The 18,485-nt window shown below is 53.6% G+C and overlaps 2 protein-coding genes and 1 long non-coding RNA gene across 19 annotated transcripts in view, besides 4 other annotated features; 2 read left to right on the top strand and 1 right to left on the bottom strand.

The window, feature by feature from the left end:
* The window catches only part of SLC6A13 (solute carrier family 6 member 13), a 42,215-nt gene extending 41,121 nt beyond the window's left edge, over nucleotides 1-1,094 (top strand). For all 6 annotated transcript variants that reach the window (NM_001190997.3, NM_016615.5, XM_047429420.1 and 3 more), the window contains 2 exons: nucleotides 170-340; nucleotides 646-1,094. In NM_001190997.3, coding sequence (NP_001177926.1) covers nucleotides 170-340; nucleotides 646-768 — 294 coding nt within the window. In that variant the 3' untranslated portion in view covers nucleotides 769-1,094. The remainder of the gene's footprint in view (nucleotides 1-169; nucleotides 341-645) is intronic.
* Nucleotides 12-967: an enhancer, noted in NCBI's record as "H3K4me1 hESC enhancer chr12:329915-330870 (GRCh37/hg19 assembly coordinates)". NCBI's record gives its function as "activates a minimal SCP1, AML or CMV promoter by ChIP-STARR-seq in naive H9 embryonic stem cells {active_cell/tissue: H9 hESC(naive)}" and the evidence as "EXISTENCE:reporter gene assay evidence [ECO:0000049][PMID:30033119]".
* A 6,464-nt stretch (nucleotides 1,095-7,558) lies between the features above and the next one.
* Nucleotides 7,559-18,485, top strand: part of SLC6A12 (solute carrier family 6 member 12) — a 30,310-nt gene continuing 19,383 nt past the window's right edge. For 5 of the 12 annotated variants that reach the window (XM_047429417.1, NM_001122848.3, XM_005253748.4 and 2 more), the window contains exons 1-4: nucleotides 7,559-7,794; nucleotides 9,606-9,690; nucleotides 11,673-11,943; nucleotides 17,018-17,152. In XM_047429417.1, the coding sequence (XP_047285373.1) occupies nucleotides 11,730-11,943; nucleotides 17,018-17,152 (349 nt within the window). In that variant the 5' untranslated portion in view covers nucleotides 7,559-7,794; nucleotides 9,606-9,690; nucleotides 11,673-11,729. Of the gene's footprint in view, nucleotides 7,795-8,013; nucleotides 8,427-9,605; nucleotides 9,691-11,147; nucleotides 11,512-11,672; nucleotides 11,960-17,017; nucleotides 17,153-17,964; nucleotides 18,279-18,485 lie in introns of those variants that run through there. The other 7 variants (NM_001122847.3, XM_047429416.1, NM_003044.5 and 4 more) reach the window with 6 other exon arrangements.
* Nucleotides 7,678-8,449: an enhancer, noted in NCBI's record as "H3K4me1 hESC enhancer chr12:322433-323204 (GRCh37/hg19 assembly coordinates)". NCBI's record gives its function as "activates a minimal SCP1, AML or CMV promoter by ChIP-STARR-seq in primed H9 embryonic stem cells {active_cell/tissue: H9 hESC(primed)}" and the evidence as "EXISTENCE:reporter gene assay evidence [ECO:0000049][PMID:30033119]".
* Nucleotides 9,161-9,210: an enhancer, noted in NCBI's record as "active region_5777". NCBI's record gives its function as "activates an Ori minimal core promoter by ATAC-STARR-seq in GM12878 lymphoblastoid cells {active_cell/tissue: GM12878}" and the evidence as "EXISTENCE:reporter gene assay evidence [ECO:0000049][PMID:35858748]".
* Nucleotides 9,222-9,994: an enhancer, noted in NCBI's record as "NANOG-H3K4me1 hESC enhancer chr12:320888-321660 (GRCh37/hg19 assembly coordinates)". NCBI's record gives its function as "activates a minimal SCP1, AML or CMV promoter by ChIP-STARR-seq in naive H9 embryonic stem cells {active_cell/tissue: H9 hESC(naive)}" and the evidence as "EXISTENCE:reporter gene assay evidence [ECO:0000049][PMID:30033119]".
* Nucleotides 16,623-18,071, bottom strand: SLC6A12-AS1 (SLC6A12 antisense RNA 1). The gene is made up of 3 exons (NR_120475.1): nucleotides 17,977-18,071; nucleotides 17,487-17,698; nucleotides 16,623-17,076 (listed from the first exon to the last, which is right to left on the bottom strand). It is a non-coding gene; the product is annotated as an SLC6A12 antisense RNA 1 (long non-coding RNA).

The following is an 18,485-nucleotide window of genomic DNA, read 5'->3' as shown; positions in this document are numbered from 1 at the left end:
GGGTTTTGGGCAGAGTGTGGATGGAGAAGATTGGAGGCTGATTGGTCCAGAAGAGCTAGAGGGAATCCAGGCTTGGAGGGTGATTTCTGCCAGGCTGCTGGGGAGCGGGGGAGCTGAGGGCACAAGGCCCCCGCCCCCCAACCCCTTTCTCTTCTGCTCTCCCCCTCAGGCCACCTTTCTCTTCTCCCTGATAAAGTACACTCCGCTGACCTACAACAAGAAGTACACGTACCCGTGGTGGGGCGATGCCCTGGGCTGGCTCCTGGCTCTGTCCTCCATGGTCTGCATTCCTGCCTGGAGCCTCTACAGACTCGGAACCCTCAAGGGCCCCTTCAGAGAGGTAGGGCCTTTGCGGGCAGGAAAGCAGCCAGAGGGGCTGGGAGGCTTCGCAGGTGCCGACAGGTGGGCTGCCAGCCAGGGCGCACACCGTTGTGTGGAGGTGCCAGTGGGCCCAGCCTGGGTGTCAGGGAGCGATAGAGTGGCTGCTGAGAAGTCTCGGGAAGACACAGGGGGACTCCCAGACAGGGGCTGTGATGACAGGAGGGCAGGTTTGTGTGTGGGGAGGCAGCAGATGTTGGTGATGAGGGAAGCTGGCAGACCTGCCCCCGCTCCACCACCTGACAGCCACCTCTGCTATCCCCGCAGAGAATCCGTCAGCTCATGTGCCCAGCCGAGGACCTGCCCCAGCGGAACCCAGCAGGACCCTCGGCTCCCGCCACCCCCAGGACCTCACTGCTCAGACTCACAGAGCTAGAGTCTCACTGCTAGGGGGCAGGCCCTTGGATGGTGCCTGTGTGCCTGGCCTTGGGGATGGCTGTGGAGGGAACGTGGCAGAAGCAGCCCCATGTGCTTCCCTGCCCCCGACCTGGAGTGGATAAGACAAGAGGGGTATTTTGGAGTCCACCTGCTGAGCTGGAGGCCTCCCACTGCAACTTTTCAGCTCAGGGGTTGTTGAACAGATGTGAAAGGCCAGTGCCAAGAGTGTCCCTCTGAGACCCTTGGGAAGCTGGGTGGGGGCTGGTAGGTGGGGCGAGACTTGCTGGCTTCGGGCCCTCTCATCCTTCATTCCATTAAATCCACATTCTTCCCGCTGACTGCTAGCGGTTCTGTCTGATTTCTGCCCCCTGCCTGGCTGCCTTCACCCTTCCCCATGTTACTGTTGTGGTTTAGGACCCTGCCCCTCCCCATCCTAGCCTCCCCCATTGAGTTCTCACTGGGGCCCACTCAGCACGGTGATGGGGGCGGGTGGTGGGGCCAGGCTGAGAGCCTCCATCATCAGGCATGTGGACCAGAGGAGGCTGCCCAGCCTCTCTCCACATGTCCTCAGCTTCCTTCCTCCGCCTTTGTGCTGTGGAATAAGAAAGGAAATTGAGGGACGCATGAAGGAGACCCGAGTCCTAGCCAAAGGAGAGGGAAAGGCTGGTGGCAGTTTCCTCCTGCCCACTTTCCCTGCTGTGTCCTCGCCTACCCCCAGCGGCCAAAACTGCCTGTGTGCCCACCGAGGCTGGGCACGGGGGACGTGGGGGAGGGCCGGCTGTGACCACGCCCCAGTGCAGCAGGTTGGGGGGCCTTGGCAGAGGAGGGCACTGCCCAGCTCAGCCAGCAGAGGGACGCCACTTCCTTGGGACCGCCTCGCTCTTCTGAGGATAGGAGACACCGGATGCCGGGGCACCGCCAGATGTGGCCACGAGGGGGTGGTACTGCTATGGCCACAGCTCTACTGTCAGGGCCTGAGCTGCAGGGAGGAAGTCCACCCCCACTCGGGGTCAGTGGGCATGGGGGGGGGTGCCCAGAGGGTGCCACAGGTGTGTCTCTGCAGCCTTGCCTCTGCGTATGGGCATGGAGCCGGGCCCCACATATTTCTGGCTGTAGCTTTGTGTGTGGTTTTGGAAGTGGCTGAACACACAGCTACATCTCTCCCTGCCTATGCGCAGGCTCGGGGGCCTGCCCGTGTGCCCACCTTTGTTCAGATGGGTCTTCTGGTGCTGCCCTTGGTGTGTCCTGTGACTCTTAGGGCTGCAGTCTAAGGGTGCACAGGCTTCCCTGGGTGATCTTAGTTTTTCACATGTCCACTAGTGGAAAAAAATGCACTGAAATATTTGCTTGTCTTCAGTTTTTGACTTTTTGTCGTTGGAAGAGTTGGTGAAGATTAACGACAGCAGTCCTGCTGTATGTCAGCCTTGGCTGCCCCTTCCTGGAGAATGCTGCTCGGGCATTCCCCGAGGGTGCTGGGCTCAATCTCAGTCTTACCGGGGGAGAAATACATCTGCTGGAGAGGCAGGCCCGAACTCGAGATGCTGCAAGCCAGCAGCTCCATCCACCGGACACTGTTGACAGAACACCTCCCGCGTGGTGCCGTGCTGTGCTCGTGACATGCCAGGAGTAAAAACAGATACAATTTCTTAAACAGTGAGTGACAGATACCATGACAGAAAAGAGCAAAGAGCTGTGGAAAATAATAAGTGGGGTAGGGCAGGACCTCATGGTGCAGGTTGGGTTCTAAGGTTATAATACCTGTCTCCATCCGTATGACCAAAGTTGCCGGAACTGCCGGCCTCAGCGGGAATGTGGGACCCAGATGTGATCTGAGTCGCATCGAGGAGCTTCCTGATGGTGGAACACGGTGTGAGAGTCACCTATTGGTGTAAGAACCCGGAGGTGTGCTTCCAGAACTTGCTGCGTGTCTGTGCAGTCACTTGGAATTCAGGTTCTTTGCTTCGCAGTTGCAGAAAACGCCACGCACTCCTTCTCCAAGCAGGGCTTGTCGTAGGGCTCAAAGGAGGTAATGGGTGTGAGGGTCCTTTCCGTCACTTGGTGACACGTGGTGTGAGGTCATCAAACTGGAGGGAGGTGGCTGAGGGGGTGAGGCTCTAACAGCGCAGGTGGGACTGGCAGGCAGAGAGATGAGAATGCTGCTGGCTTGGGTCGGGGTCAGGGTTGAGGGAAGGAAGGAAGGAGTACCTCGGCCTTAGCCAGAGGGGCTGAAGCGACGGGGGTGGGGGTGGGGATGGGGGGGTGTAGGGCAGCCGAGTCAGTGACCTGCTTCCCTAGCCTGGAGGGGTGGGCGCTATATCTTAGAGTTCCCAGAGAAGAAGACCCAAAAGGAAGGGAGCCCTCTCTTGTCTGGAGGCCACACCTGTTAGAGAGGAAAGGCAAGCAGTGAGAGCCTGGGGGCAAGTTGAACAGGGAGAGCAGAAGCAGAGGTGGCGGGAGAGTTACAGACTATGCCCAGGGCTGCGGGAAAGCAGCTTGTTAGGCACTGAGCCCACCAGGCTGCGCGGGGCCTCAGACCTTGCCCACATGAACACCCAGGTCTCAGATCCACACACAGGCATGCAGGCACCAGCCCCTCCTTATCCTCAGAGACATGTGCACATGTGCACAAACTCAGAGACGCCACAGCCAGCTGAGCATTCTCCTGTAGAGGGGCTTGCAGGCCTGGCTTGGATCCTGGCCCTTTGACTTACTAACTGTGTGACCTTAGGCAAGCTAACCTCTCTGATCCTTAGTTTTCTCTTCCATAAAACAGGAATACTGCTACTTACATCAGTGTTGTTAGAGTCCAGCAGATGCTATAGGGACAGCTGCCCTGGGGACACATTCAGTCAAACCCATCCTATTTCCCATAGCTGCAGCCCCACCACATCGGACTGTCAGCATCACAGAAAAGTTCAGGAAGAGTTTAGAGATATCCTTGCTGTCCCCAGTCTCAGACTAGGTTGCACTGGGCTCCAGGAAGGAGGCTACACATTTATTGAGCTAAGCATTTTTTTTTTTTTTGAGACGGAGTCTCGCTCTGTCGCCCGGGCTGGAGTGCAGCGGCACCATCTCAGCTCACTGCAAGCTCCGCCTCCCGGGTTCACGCCATTCTCCTGCCTCAGCCTCCCGAGTAGCTGGGACTACAGGTGCCCACCAACACGCCCAGCTGATTTTTTCTATTTTTTAGTAGAGATGGGGTTTCACCGTGTTAGCCAGGATGGTCTCGATCTCCTGACCTTGTGATCTGCCCGCCTCGGCCTCCCAAAGTGCTGGGATTACAGGCGTGAGCCACCGCGTCCGGCCGAGCTAAGCATTTTCACTAGAAGGCAAGGAAGACGTAGTCCTAAAATAATCCTGGTCCTGTGGCCTGAGGGTGCTACTCCACACTCTTCACCAAGTGACAACACAGAGCAGTACTGTCCAAGATAAGCAGGACCTGAGTCATCTGAGCCCTCTGATTCTGGGGAAACAATGTCCTCCCAGAAAAGGGAAAACTGTAATCATTTTTCCCCCTTCAAGTTCCATTCATCCACTCGTTCATCCATCCATCCGTCCATCCTCCATCCATCCATCCATCCATCCGTCTGTCCATCCATCCATCCGTCTGTCCATCCATCCATCCATCCATCCATCCATCCATCCATCCATCCGTCCATCCATCTGTCCATCCATCCGTCTGTCCATCCATCCATCCATCCATCCATCCATCCATCCATCTGTCCATCCATCCATCCATCCATCCATCCTCCATCCAATGAACACTGAGTGCCTATTCTGAGGCAGAATTGTATTAAATGCTAGAGGCAGAAATAAAGAATTATGAAATGAGACCCCTGACATATAGATATTCATGGTCAGGGGAACAGTATGCTTCAGTGGAACAAGCATAGATTTTTGGAGCCAAGAGGCCCAGGTTCAAATCCCAGCACCATCACTTACTTGTGTGTGGCCTTAGGACAAATCACTTAGCTTCTATTTATTCACCCCAGTTTCCCGTCTGTAAAATGGGGCTAATAATTTTTACATTTCAAAGTTCTTAAGGGGATGAAATGAAGTAACATGTAAAACTCCTCGTCCGAGTTAGATGCTCAGGAAATAAGTCCTATTCCAGGCCCTCTGAAAGTATGGATGAGATTAGAAGATGAGGGTGGTGAGAACATTCTGTGGTGGCCAGTGGTTCCTACTGCAGCAAAGGTGATAGATTCATTCAGCTACCTGTCGTCTTCACCCTGCACACTCCTCAGTGTGGAAACAGCCCAGTCTCAGCTAGGCTTTCCAGGATGCCTACCTTTTGCAAAGATGAGAGTCTCTGGCCTCCAGGAGTTTACTAACCAGTCTGAATACCAAGTGGGTCTTGGAGGCTAGGAGAACTTGAGTGAGGAAGGGCTCAACATTAGAGAGTCTCTGGCCTCCAGGGGTTTACTAACCAGTCTGAACACCAAGTGGGTCTTGGAGGCTAGGAGAACTTGAGTGAGGAAGGGCTCAACATTAGAGAGTCTCTGGCCTCCAGAAGTTTACTAACTGGTCTGAATACCAAGTGGGTCTTGGAGGCTAGGAGAACTTGAGTGAGGAAGGGCTCAACATTAGAGAGTCTCTGGCCTCCAGGGGTTTACTAACCGGTCTGAACACCAAGTGGGTCTTGGAGGCTAGGAGAACTTGAGTGAGGAAGGGCTCAACATTAGAGAGTCTCTGGCCTCCAGAAGTTTACTAACCAGTCTGAATACCAAGTGGGTCTTGGAGGCTAGGAGAACTTGAGTGAGGAAGGGCTCAACATTAGAGAGTCTCTGGCCTCCAGAAGTTTACTAACTGGTCTGAATACCAAGTGGGTCTTGGAGGCTAGGAGAACTTGAGTGAGGAAGGGCTCAACATTAGAGAGTCTCTGGCCTCCAGAAGTTTACTAACTGGTCTGAATACCAAGTGGGTCTTGGAGGCTAGGAAAACTTGAGTGAGGAAGGGCTCAACATTAAGATGGTGGGACTAAGGCCAGAGGCAGTCAGATAAAAACAGGGAGGGACCAGGTAGCTCTTTTGGGGGAAAGTCAAACTGTACCCCCTGGGCCAGGTCAACCAGGCAGCTGTTCTCTGACAAGGTGAAGGAGAGGTGACAGGACTGCTGGGCTGTTGCTGTTCATCCTCACAGAAAGCATGTCACACTGTATGTGCTAAATATAATTTTTGAGGGAACCAACAAGGAAATTCACCATCTTGGCTTGTCTGATCCTCTCCCCTCTTTCTCCTTTTTATGGAGAGGCTGGTGTTTTGTTCTGGAGTAGCTGTAGCTAGGTGATCACATGGACTTTGATGTCCCCTCTGCAATAACTCTGTGGTCAATCCATGGTGGACCTGACATGCAGGGACAGGCCACACCTGAGCACCGGGGTAGCTCAAGTATGGATTCTGGCTGGGCCATGTCCTACTGTGCCACAGCTGACCCCCAGCCCGGCTTCTGCTTTCATAGAGGCAATGGGTCTGAGAGCTGAGACCTGCTCTGCCTTCCTCTTCATGTGGAACCCCACAGGAGAGGCTGAGAGGGGCCCGAGAGACATATCGTGGGGGTGCTTGATGGAAAACTACAGACTGAGAGTCTCACTTCACACCCCACCCCTGCTGGGAAGTTCTAAAATACACAGAGGAAGCACATGTAAAAGGAAATTTCCCTTTCTCCCTGCAACTTCCTCTCCCTTCATACCACCTAGAGCTGAAGAAGCACCTCCTTTGTCTTGAAGGAGGCACCAGCTATTCTGAATGAAGGGCGGTGGGACAGTGCTGTACCCCACACCAGGTGGGCGTGCTCAGGGACAGTGACCAGGACGCTGTTCTGGAGGAGCTCACTGGGCACACGGCATAGGGCACATGTATTCAAAAAATACCCTTCCCCATTGATAGCTGGCAGGCCACTCCAGACAAATTCTAGCTAGGTGCCTGGTGCTATGCAGTGACCAGAGGTGCCTGGGACCAGACACCCCACCATCCCAGCCTCTGCTTCCAGAGGACACACAACAAACACCCACACCTCCCCTTAAGCACCTATGATATCCCTGCACCCTCACAGCAACCCCGCAAAGTAGATATTGTGTTGTTACCTACCTTTGACAGACTGGGAAACCAAGGCTGACCCTTGCCTAGCTGTCGTGACTGATACATGATAGAGGAGGAGAAGAAACTCAGGTCTGTCTGGTCCCAATCCTGGGTCCTCTCTACATTGCTTCTTGAGGTACGCTCTGGGTGCTTTCTCTAGGAAAATCCCAAGGAGAAGGGTTGTGAAGGTCCAGGGCCTTGCCTAGAAGCCACAGAGGGCAGGTACTTGGTGGAAAACTCCAGCGTGTGATTCACCCTCCTCCCTTGCCCTCGTCAGTGAGGTCACCTCCCCTCCCAAGGTTCTCAGTTTATAGCCTGGAGTCTCTGGTAAGAGAGGGCTGTCCCCTGTGCTGCACATACCCGTCTCCTCATCCCTGGGAAGGAGATGGTTCTGGAGGGGGATAGGGGAAAAGGGGGAAGGGGGAAGGGCAAGGAGGAGGAGGAGGGGAGATGAGGTCAGGGTGTGAGTCTCTGAGCCCCTTCCCCTGCCCAAGGGAGCAGCAGCTCAGCCCAGCTCTGGAGGGGCCATCATGGGACTGTGCCCACGGGGAGGGCACCGGTCTGGAGACAGTGGGTTCACAGTGGGAGTGGGATGGGGGTGGGAGCGCTGGGGACAGAGGACTTGACTTCCTGAGGTTGGATGTTGTAATCTCGGTTCACAAACTTTTGGCCTCAGTCCCTCCTGCTGCTCCTGGTATTTCTCTGTCCTTTCACTCCCCAACACACACAGCCCCCGCCCCAACACATACACACACGGCTTCTTTCTGTCTGGGAGTCCCTGGACAAGTCACATGGGATTCTGCGCTGGGAGGAACAGGGTAAGGCGTGAACGTGGAGGGCAGTTTCCCTTTCAGGTCCCGGCTCTCTTGGCTTTCCCATAAGCAGCTGCCTTGGGACTCTCCTGGAGACCTGATGCCCACAGCCAAGCTGACCACAGGAGCCGGTGCTGGGGACTGAGGTGAGCGGGAAGTGGAGGGGCTGGCTCTGTCTTTGCAGTCTCCAACTGCTGCTCAGAGGGGCTGGAGGGATAGAGCCCTGGGAAGCGAGACTCTGTGGAACTGCGTGTCTGCAGCGGGGGGCAGGACCTGCAATAACCTCAGGCCAAAGGGCAAGTCTGATGCCCACGACTCTCAGGACAAGGGGTGCCCCCTAGCTCCGCCCCATCCAGCGTGGGAGCAGCTCAGTGATTAGCCTGTGGAGCAGGAAAGTCCAGCGATGGGCAGCTGGTCACGGCAGTGGGTGAAAGCAGGGGTGGTCATCTGACGAGGGGAGGGGAAGCAGGTGGTGCCCAGCAAGGTGGAAGGAGAAGTGGACAGGAGAAACCTCGGGGCATTCCCGAGGGCCCAGGAACTGCAATAAATGATCACAGGTGAGGGGTTCCTGCCCGCTGCCTGCCGGCTGAGCGTGACGAGCTGGGTGCCAGGCGCCTCCCAGGAGGAAGCTGTCTTGGCTTTGGGCGGTGGATGCTATGGGTGTGCTTGTACCCGAGGGGGGCACTCAGGGGAGTTGCAGGCAGCCACCAGCTGAGACCGGCACTCACGGGGTGTGAAGGACTACAGAGAGAGCCAGGTTTTGGTGCCATGCACACAGGTATGTGTGTGCGAAGGGACGTGACGGGAAATGGCACCAGTGTGTGTATGGGAATGGGTGTTGGTATGTGGGTGTGGACTGAAGCAGGGGCTGGGTGTCCCATCCCCCCGTGTGCAGGGTCTGAGCTATTCCTATGCTGGACTGGGGAGCAAAGGGGACAGAGCTGGGATCCCAGCAGCACATGGGCAGCAGCATTTCTGGTCTCGTCTGCACCTCTGCTAGCCCCAGCTGGGCCTCTGGCGACATGCCCAGCTCCTGAAAACAGACTTAACTTTGGACTTTCTAGTCTCTTGAAGATTTGCTCTCTGGGCAGCACCAAGCCCGGTGTGGAAATTGGTGTGTTTGCTTCTGGAGGGCACTGAAGTATGATGAGGCCCATCCCCCACCCCTCACCCCCCTGTCCCGGCTTAGCAAAGCAGGTGGGCGGCCTTGGAGGAGACTCGAGGGGCTGGAGAGGCGGCCAGCCGAAGCTGGAGGTGGAAGGGCACAGCGGGGGTGGGGTGTGTAGTCCTTTGCCTTTTAAAAGTAGCCCAGAAAGGAGAACTCAGTACAGCTTGTTTTGGTGTCTAACATCCTCTGGGCCATTTCTTCCCTGAGTCTAACTTAAATCCCTCTTGCTGCAGTTTAAGCGTGTTCCCTCTTGAGTTACCACGGCTCGGGGCCAGCTGTCCTTTTCACTTGCTCTTGCTTTCATTCTGCCGTTCTGGATTTTCATTCTGAACCACAAGTTACGCTCCTCCCGATTACTTTTTTATTTTCATTTTTATTTTTAAAAAATCATGTTGCGTCAGTGTCGGTTCACCAGCTCATGTTCTCTTTTTGCACTTCCCCTATTTCTGATGAAACCCAAATCCTGGGCCCAAACTGGATTCTGTGATTCGCTTCCCTGCCCCTGCGCCCCTCCGGCTTTCCCTTCATTTACTCCTTCCCCCAGCAAGCCTCCACTCTCCCAGCCCTTGAGACCACCTTGGTCCTGCCACAGCTGCCTGTGGTCTGGAAACAGTAAGGCTCATTTCTGACCACCGCCCTAAGGGCCCTTGTGCTTGGGGCTCGCCCTGGGATTAGCAACGCTATGGCCCGCGAGTAGAGGCGGTCAGTTCTCCGTCTCTTTATTGAGTCTTGTTTTTATCCCCTCACCCTCCGAAAACCCCTTTGAGCAGTGGTCTTTCTCTCTTCCAGGGAAACTTAGAGTTCAGAGAGGGGGTGTGATTTGCCTGAGGTCACACAGCAAGTTAGAGACCCAGCTCCACGACTCATTGTCTTGGTAAGTGTATTCTAGCATTGAGAACAGTGTCCCCCAGGCGCTGCAGGTGCCAGGCACTGTTCCTTAATCTCTTGGAGCTTCACTTCCTCACACATAAAGTGGAGCTAATAGTGACACCTAACTTCAGAGATTCTTAGGAGGATGCACTTCAATAATACGTAGAAAGAGTGCCTGTCTTTAACATACTGCTGACTCAGATGTCAACCTGTTGTTATTATCATTAACAGCTAGATCTGGATTAGAACTTGGGTTTCCTATCTGGTGCATTTTCATGCGTGTTTTCAAGCTCGCTCACTAGTTTGTTAATTTATTTGGTGATGATTCCAGGGTCATTTCTCAGGGTGCCTCATTCCTAATTCTGTAGCAACATCCACATTTGGGTTCAGATGTTACCAACTTCTCCCCTGGGGCCCAACTCCCCATTTTTTCATCCCCAGGCTCCAGTGCTCAAGGCCCCCATGGGTCTGATCACATACTCTGAACCCAGAGGCTCTCTTTCCTCCCTCTTTTCCCCTGCCTTCTCCCTCATAACAGAGACTCAAGGCCTCTGATTCCCACTGGGTGGCTATCCTCATCCTCCCTCCTGGGCTGAGCTTACAGTGGAAGGCTCTGAGTAGGTCCCAATACCAGAATTTCACTCTGACATGCTTTCCCATTCCTGGGATAACCTGCACCCTCCAAGTCACCTTCAAAAATTTCCATTACCTCAAATGGCTCCTGCCCACGCCTTTCTAACTGACTTGGGCTTGGGCTGTTGCCTGGGTTAAAAGGACCAGTAAATAAACACAGACTCTTCCTTAATAAAAAGAATCCCTGTTTCTCTAGAGCCTTGGAGGAGCGTGGGGCACTTGGTAGACCTGGTCGCTTTGATTCCCTCAATACCCCTCAGAGGTGAGGGGCTGCGGGATGGGTGCTCCCCTCTACAGCCTGGGGCACCTCCTCTTGGCAATTCCTGGGAATAAAGGCAGAGGTGGCCTCAGGGCGATTGTTTGTGTGTATGAGAGGGAGGAGAAGGCAAACATAGATTGGAGATACACCCTGACAGAAGCGGATTTGTCTCCTGGCAGTTGACAAGCAGGCCAAGGGACAGAGAGTAGAACTAAGAATGCCCCACGTCACTTTTCTGGAGGTCTAGGGAGCTTTGGGCTCTCTAGGAGGGCAGGGAGAAGGGAAGGGCAGTGACCTGCTGAGAGGGGCAGCCACTGCTGGGCCTCCCTTTTGAGGAGCCCGTCATTTGGTCACCTTGGGGGTCATCCGGAGGTGACTGCCAGCCAGGTGAGAACTGGTCTGGTGATCCCTTCTGGCACCAGGGCCCCCTAGTTTTTCTCAGGACAGAGATACAACAGAGAGAAGAGGAGCTGGGGCTCCCTCGAAAGCTCACACTTGCCCCTGGTGCCAATCGTTGTTGTCATCTGGCCTTGTTCAGAGGCCCCACCTTCTCTTTTCCTCCCAATCAGCTGCCCAGAGCTGCTGGCTCCCCTGTTTACTCTGAGCTGATCGATCACCTTAGCACACAGCTGGCTAGGAGAGAACCATGCAGTCACTTCGGCCACACCTGCCCGTTGACCCTTGCTACCTCGGCAGGCTTTGATCCCTTCTGACCTGGAGGCCAGAGGCTAGGCTGAGGTCACTCAGCAGACATCAAGGACCTGGGCAGATGGGCCGGCTGGGATGGTGGCGAGCTGTACAGATAAAAAGGGACATGAAAATGAAAAGCCCGAGCCTGAGTTTTCATCACGGTTCCACTCCTGAGTGGTCTTGGGTGAATCACTTCATCTGCCAAGGCCTGGATTTCCTCATCTGCAAACTCAGAAAACTAAGGTTTGCTCTTACAGTTACGAGAACGAACTGGAACTTTAGGTGTAAATGCCATGGAGCACTTGGGAAGAACAACAATATGCTGACAGCGGAGATCGGGATGGGAAAGCAGGGCTGGCGGGAGCATGTCGGGTTTTACAGCTAATTTCTTCTCTTCCCACCAGGCTTTGGCCCTCGTCATCCTGCCCACCCAGCGGGGCTTCCCAACCCACCACACAGCCATGGACGGGAAGGTGGCAGTGCAAGAGTGTGGGCCTCCTGCAGTCTCCTGGGTCCCCGAGGAGGGAGAGAAGTTGGACCAGGAAGACGAGGACCAGGTGAAGGATCGGGGCCAATGGACCAACAAGATGGAGTTTGTGCTGTCAGTGGCCGGGGAGATCATTGGGCTGGGCAATGTCTGGAGGTTTCCCTATCTCTGCTACAAAAACGGAGGTGGTGAGTTCACTTTGAGGTAGGCATGGTGGGGAGAGCTGTGTGCTGGCAGCTGGGCAGTGCCTACCTGGGCCCTCCTTCCTGGGCAGTGTGGTTTATAAAAGGAGGGCTATTTTGGAATTGGAGGACTTGAGTTTGAGTTCCAGCTCCACTACTAGCCTCAGCGTCCCTCTCTGTGAAATGGGGACAATACCTCCCAGGGTGACGGTGAAGATGAAACTGGGCAATGGGCAGGACCAAGAAATTCTAGTTTTTAACAAGCTCCTTCATGACTATGTAAAGGTCAATCATTGATAGAATTCAGTCATTCATTCAGTGAACATGATTGCAGGCCTGTCACGTGCCAGACCCGGCGCTAGGTGCAAAACAGAACACATTCCGTGTGCCACCCTCCGTGGGAGGATTCTGAGGAGTTGTACTGTGTCTGCGGCAGGTTGCGGACAAACGGTTCCGCGTGGTCTATGTCAAATGGTGATGAGTGGAGGGGTGAGACGTGACGCAGGGAGGAGGGATAGGGAATGCTAGGCGTGCAGAGGGGAAGGTGACATTTCAGCAGACTTGAAGGAAGTGAAGGCATGAGTGTCGTGGATGTATCCTGGATGGAGAACACTCTGACACAGGGAACGGCAGGTGCCAAGGTCCTGGGGGTGGAAGCTGCAGGCCTGTCTGAGGAGCAGTGAGGAGGCAGGTGTGGCTGGGATGGAATGAGAGAGGCAGAGAATAACCGGGTGAGGGCAGAGAGGTCACAGGGATCACTCAGGCTGAGGTTGGACAGGTCACAGGGGTCACTCAGGCTCTGTTCTGACTGAGATGGGAGCCACCGAAGCAATTTTGGTTGGAGAAATACCTTGCCTTTGAGTTTTTTTCAAGTTAGAGAAACATGATTTTATTATTTTTCAGCACTGGGTGTAAAAATTAGCAGTGGTGGGGAGGGGCCAGTTCCTTATTCTAAGTGCACAATTCAGTGGTTTTTAGTATAGTCACAGAATTGTGCAGCCATCACCACAACCACTTTTGGAACATTTTCATCATCCCCGAAAGAAATCCTATATTCATTCGCAGTCGCTCCTCATTCCCTCTCCCTGCCAGCCCTTGGCAACGCTTATGTGCTGCCCATCTCGATGGATCCCTATTTGGGCTATTTCACAGGAATACAATCGTTCAATGCGCCGTCCTTTGTGAGTGGTTAGATTCATTTTTTTTGGCCTTTTGAAATCACTTTTATTTTTCTTGTGGAAACAGTATATGTTTATTGCAAATATTAGAAACATTTCAGGAAGGTAGAAAGGAATACTCACATTTAGAGATAATTTGTTGAGAAAATCCTCCTAAACACTATTTATATTAAATCTGACCAATATTTACGGAGGGTCTACTGTGTATCTTGCTATGTGTTTTAAACCTTATAGTTGCGATCACAAGCTGCTTGAACTGACAACTCCTAAGAAATAGCGGTAGGCTTTCTTGGGCTGGCTCAGTCTCTGGTGCTGAGGCTGACCCTGGGCCAGAAAGTCAGGGGAGGCAAGATGAAGGGGCAGGGTGGTGGTTTCCTTCTTCATCCAGGGCCACCATCTCATGGCATATAGGATGTTAGGGCTGGAGATGGAGGTGCTCAGACTAAGCCCTCCTTTAGTGGAGGAGGATTTGCCCAGGACTGCAGAGGGCCTTGGAACCATTTCTGCGTCACGGCACACTCCTCACCCAGCCATCTGGGAGGGAGACAGCACTAGGGCCTGGGAGGCAGGGCCGCGGTGTCGGGCGCCCACCCTGCCTCTGTCCTGTCATGCTGGCTGCTGCTGTGGCTGTGGCCTCTGTCCTGGCCGTGGGGTGGGGTGGAGAGAGAGAGATGAGTACCCGCAGTAACATTATGGAATATCGGATCCGGTTACCTCCTTCCCAGCCTAACTCTTGGGAAAGACACCCTTTCTTTCATCTTTAACATGAGGGGGCCAAATGAGGTTGGGGTCCCCTTCTGGAGTCACTGGTCCTTGGGGGTCTAGAAATGTAGTAAAGAAGGGCCAGGAATTCATTTTCTCATTTCCAACAACCTAATGATGGATGGATGTGGAAACAGGATGTCACAGACTAGTCCAAATGTCTTTTATTTTTTTGCTTTAGACTGAACTGTACTAACTCAGAGTGATAATAAAGTTTATATCAAGCTGACCATAAGGCCTGATTGGCACTTAAATATAATTTTATTAATATATGCAGGGAAATTTATTGATTATTAATTAGTAAACATAGTTCTGTAGAGAAAAATCTTTCAAAAGAAACAAAAAAGAGTAATAAAACTATTGGTCTAATGAGGGCTTTGGTTATGAAAAAGAGGGGAGCCCCTGAACTAGAAATCACTCACCTCAAAAGAGAACTTTAGGAAGTTCCCATTATCCGGGTTGTGAGTGGTTCAGGAAAGAGCATGCAGCAGAGGTAAGGCACAATGTAGAGGTGTTGACACCAACCCCAGGCTTCAGGGCACCGTGTCGGTAAAGGTCCCTGTGGGACACACCATGTTGGTAAAGGTCCCTGTGCGACATCGCTGGGCCGCCCGTGCCCATAGCCTGGGCTGACACGAAGGAGACATGAAGCAGGGTAACCTTCCAAAGCAAGGCACTGATGAGGGAATTTGAGGGGAGGGTGTAGCAGTGTCAGCGTTCTAAAAACCCAAGGGTAGAGGACGCCCTAACGCGCTCCAGAAACAACCTCTTCATCTGCCCCTCGAAGGTCCAGACTTAGTGCCACCCTTTCAGGGAGGACCCGGTCTGAGCGAGGCCCAGCTCCAGGCCTCCTGAAGTCACCCCGTCTTCTGTGGGGCGGAAATCCACACTCCCAGGTGAGAACTGAAGCCACCTCCTTTATTGGAGGGAAGGACCTTCTGCACACAACAGGTGGGAAGGAGTCCCGTGGGCCACACGCCCTGACAGACATCCTGTAAAGTGCCTTCTGGGGAGGCCTTAGGCCGTGTCCCTCTACCGAGTGCTACCCCTCAGCCTAGGTCCTGGGACTTCCCAAGCCACTGAAACCTGAGTCAGTGGTGTTACTGGCACTGTGCTGACCAACACTCTAGTATTCCTAGGGTTGGAAAGGCAAACATGGGGTTCAAAGGGACTTTGGAACTCAGTGGAGAGTTACTGGCCTTTTGTGGCTCCCTGGGATCCAGAAGACAACCTTTTTCCTTCTCCCACATATTGCTGTCAGGAATGCAGATTGGTGCAAGAGTTTTGGAGAACAATTTGGAAATGCGTATTTAAAAAATGTGCATACCCCAAAGGTGGAAACAACCAAAATATCCATGAACAGATGAACAGATAAACAGAAAGTGGTAGGTTCACACAAGGGAATAGTACGTAGCCTTCAAAAAGAAGGGAATTCATGCTATGACCTGGATCAATCTTGGAGGCATGCATGCTGAGTGAAATAAGCCAGGCACAAAGAGATAAGCACTGTATAATTACACTTTCATAAGGTACCTAGAATAGGCAAATGCATAGAAACAGAAAGTAGAATCACACCTACCAGGGGCTGGGGAGAGAGGGGAATGGGGAGTTAGTGTTTAACGTGTACAGAGTTTCGGTCTGGGATGATGAAAAAGCTCTGGAGATGAATGGTGGTGATGGTGGCACAACGTTGTGAATATACTTAATGCCACTGAACTGTATACTTAAGAACAGTTAAAGTGGCTTATATTATGTATATTTTGTCATACACACACACAAAGAGAAAAAAAGTGCATAACTTTTGACTCAGGAATTCCTCTACTGGTAATTTGTACTAAGGAATGAATTAGACAAGTGCACGAGGATGTGGACAGTGGTCTTCATTATGACAGTGTTTCGGATGAAATGACCAAAAGTCCAATGATAACATACTGACGAAGTGCACTAGGATAGATACATAGAGTGGAACACTATGCAGCAATCAAAATGATGAGGTAGATATGTATTTACTGACATGAAGAGGTTTACGGTAAAAATTTAAAAAGTGGTTATCAAACAATGTATTTGATACATGATTACTTCTCACTTTTGCAAAAAAAGAAATACATGTGTGTGCTTTTAAGAAATCTGGAAGGATATACAATGATTTTTCCTTTCTTTCCCTCTGTACTTTCTATGTTTTCTACATAATAATATGGATATGAAGTATCAGAGGTATATAGTGTAGTGATTATGAGCTCAGCCTCAGGACTAGACTGCCTGGGCTTGTGCCTCAGTTTCCTCATTCATGCTTCGGTTTTTCCGTCTTTAAAGCGACCTCAGTTTTATTATCTGCAAAATGGGGATAACAGTAGAGCCTGCCCCATGGGAGGTTGTTTTGCAAGGACTGTGATGTTGATGAAGTACGTACAAGAGTGCCTGACATGAAGTAGGCACCAAATAAGCACTCAGCGTTCTCATGGTGTAACACGCAATAATCCATTCACCCTGAGATGAACTTCTCACTCGAGCTTTATGCCTTAGTGACTCCTACTGAAGTGGGTCTCCTGGGTGTGGTCTTCAGATTCCATTCCTGTGTAACCTGCTGGATGTCTGTTAGGCCTGGCCTCCCTCTGGCACCTGCAGGTTGGCACCTAATCACGTGATGGCCTTCTCTGCTGGGAGCCCAGTTCAGATCAGAACTGGGTGGAGGCAACAAACACCCTGAAAATTATTAGTGGGAAAATAATGCTTCTGAGGTGTTTGTGTTTGTTTTTCTCTAAAATGTACCAAGAGTTTAATAAGCATATCAAGTTATACAGAAGCCATGTGTTTATTCCAAAAATAATCTATTGACTAGATTTGTAAAGCACACTAAGAAAATAAATAGTGCATATATTAGAATTTCCACCTAAGTTTTCACTAATTTCCCTTCCAAGGCCTTTCTCATTCTGTGTAGGGTTCAGATCAGAACATTCCCACCTGTGCCTGCCTAACACTCAGGACTGCACGCAGGCAGGAGTGGGCCCTTGGAAAGTGTCAGGAGGGAGATTAAGAACAGGATGGTGGAGGGCGGGTTTGTTGGGGGAGGAGGGTCTGAAAGGATGGAGGCTGAGGAAGAGCCCGGGTGTGGCTCAGCCCTGCCTCTCTCTCTTCTGCAGGAGCCTTCTTCATCCCCTACTTCATCTTCTTCTTTGTCTGCGGCATCCCGGTGTTCTTCCTGGAGGTGGCGTTGGGCCAATACACCAGCCAAGGGAGTGTCACAGCCTGGAGGAAGATCTGCCCCCTCTTCCAGGGTATGTATCCTCCCCCACCTTCCCCTTCATGGGGCCGCCATCTTGCCTGCATCCCCCCATGGTCTCTCCCTGCCTACCCATCCGCTGCTTCACCCATCCGCTCACTCCCATATCCTGCGCCAAGTGCAGAATCAGGCTTCATGGGTGGGCCGGAGAGAGCCTGGTGGGGAAACACTGGCTCCCGAGCAAGCTGGGACCCTTAGCACTGATGGTGGGGAGGTGGGGGAGGCCAGTTTGGTGCTGATGCCTCTTGGGGCAACCATGGGACCCCTGCAGGGGCAGAAGCGAGGGGCTGGAGCCGAGTGAAGCTTGGCTTACCTATGGCTCTACTCACAGGCTCTGGGTGCTCCCGGGGTGCTGTGCCTCCGCCAGAACACAGTTTCCCCCTGTTCTGCCCTCGACCCCAGCAGTCGTGTAAATGTCCCGCTCAGCTGGGTCCTATGCGTAGGTCCAAGCACGCTCACGGACAGCACATGCAGGGCTGGCCTCTCTGGAACACACAGACGGCTTATGCGGGTGCCACGGTCAGGGTGAGCAAACGGAGCACTGGAATGCGAGAGGAGAGAGGTCGTGGCTCTTTCCTTCTTTTCCAAGTCAAAGAGGCGGCAGGGCCTGGCATCTCAGCGGGAAGCGCGTGCACCGCGCTGTGCTGGTGGGAGGTCCGGGCTGCCCTCCCCGCCCTCTGCCGGCCTCTCCGCCCGCCGCACTCCCCTCTCCCGGAGCTGCCGTACTGGCTCGAGGCGCGCCCCCGCGCGCCCCCGCGCTCCCCCGCGAGCCCCTTCTCCACCCAGCGCCGCCCCGGCCCCTCTCCCAGACAGCCCCACCAGAACGCCGGCCCCCGGCTCGGCCATCCCGGGTCCGCTTAGTTCACCGGGCTGACCCGGGGCTGCCGGACGGGCCGGACGGCCGCGAGCACAGCGCGTTCCGCCGCGGCACAGGGGCCGCTTGTTTGTGTGTTTTTTGGGTGTCTGTGTGCGCGCTCTCAACGCCCCGCCCGCTCCCCGCGGACCCTCTGCCGTCTGCGGGTCCCTCCCGCGCAGCGCCACGCCCACCCCCGCGGCGGACGCCCGGGCCGCCCCAACGCCGCTGCGCGGTGGAGACCGCGGTGGAACCCGTCCTTGCCAGGGTGGGCTCGCCGGGCCCCAAAGGAGAGGTTTTGTTCATAGTCAGCATTGATTTTTCAGCCAGGCTGTTCTGAAAGGTCCACAGTCCTTCGTTAAGTAGTGAGCACTTCGGGAGGCTGAGGCAGGAGGATCGCCTGAGCCCGGGAGTTCGAGACCAGCCTGGGCAGCATAGCGAGACCCTCCCCTTCTCCCGTCTCTACAAAAAAAAA

The sequence above is a fragment of the Homo sapiens genome, chromosome 12, assembly GCF_000001405.40.
Source record: "Homo sapiens chromosome 12, GRCh38.p14 Primary Assembly".
NCBI classification, from domain to species: domain Eukaryota; kingdom Metazoa; phylum Chordata; class Mammalia; order Primates; family Hominidae; genus Homo; species Homo sapiens.
Note: the sequence above shows the minus strand (reverse complement) of the source record. Positions and strands in the feature narration are given on the sequence as shown.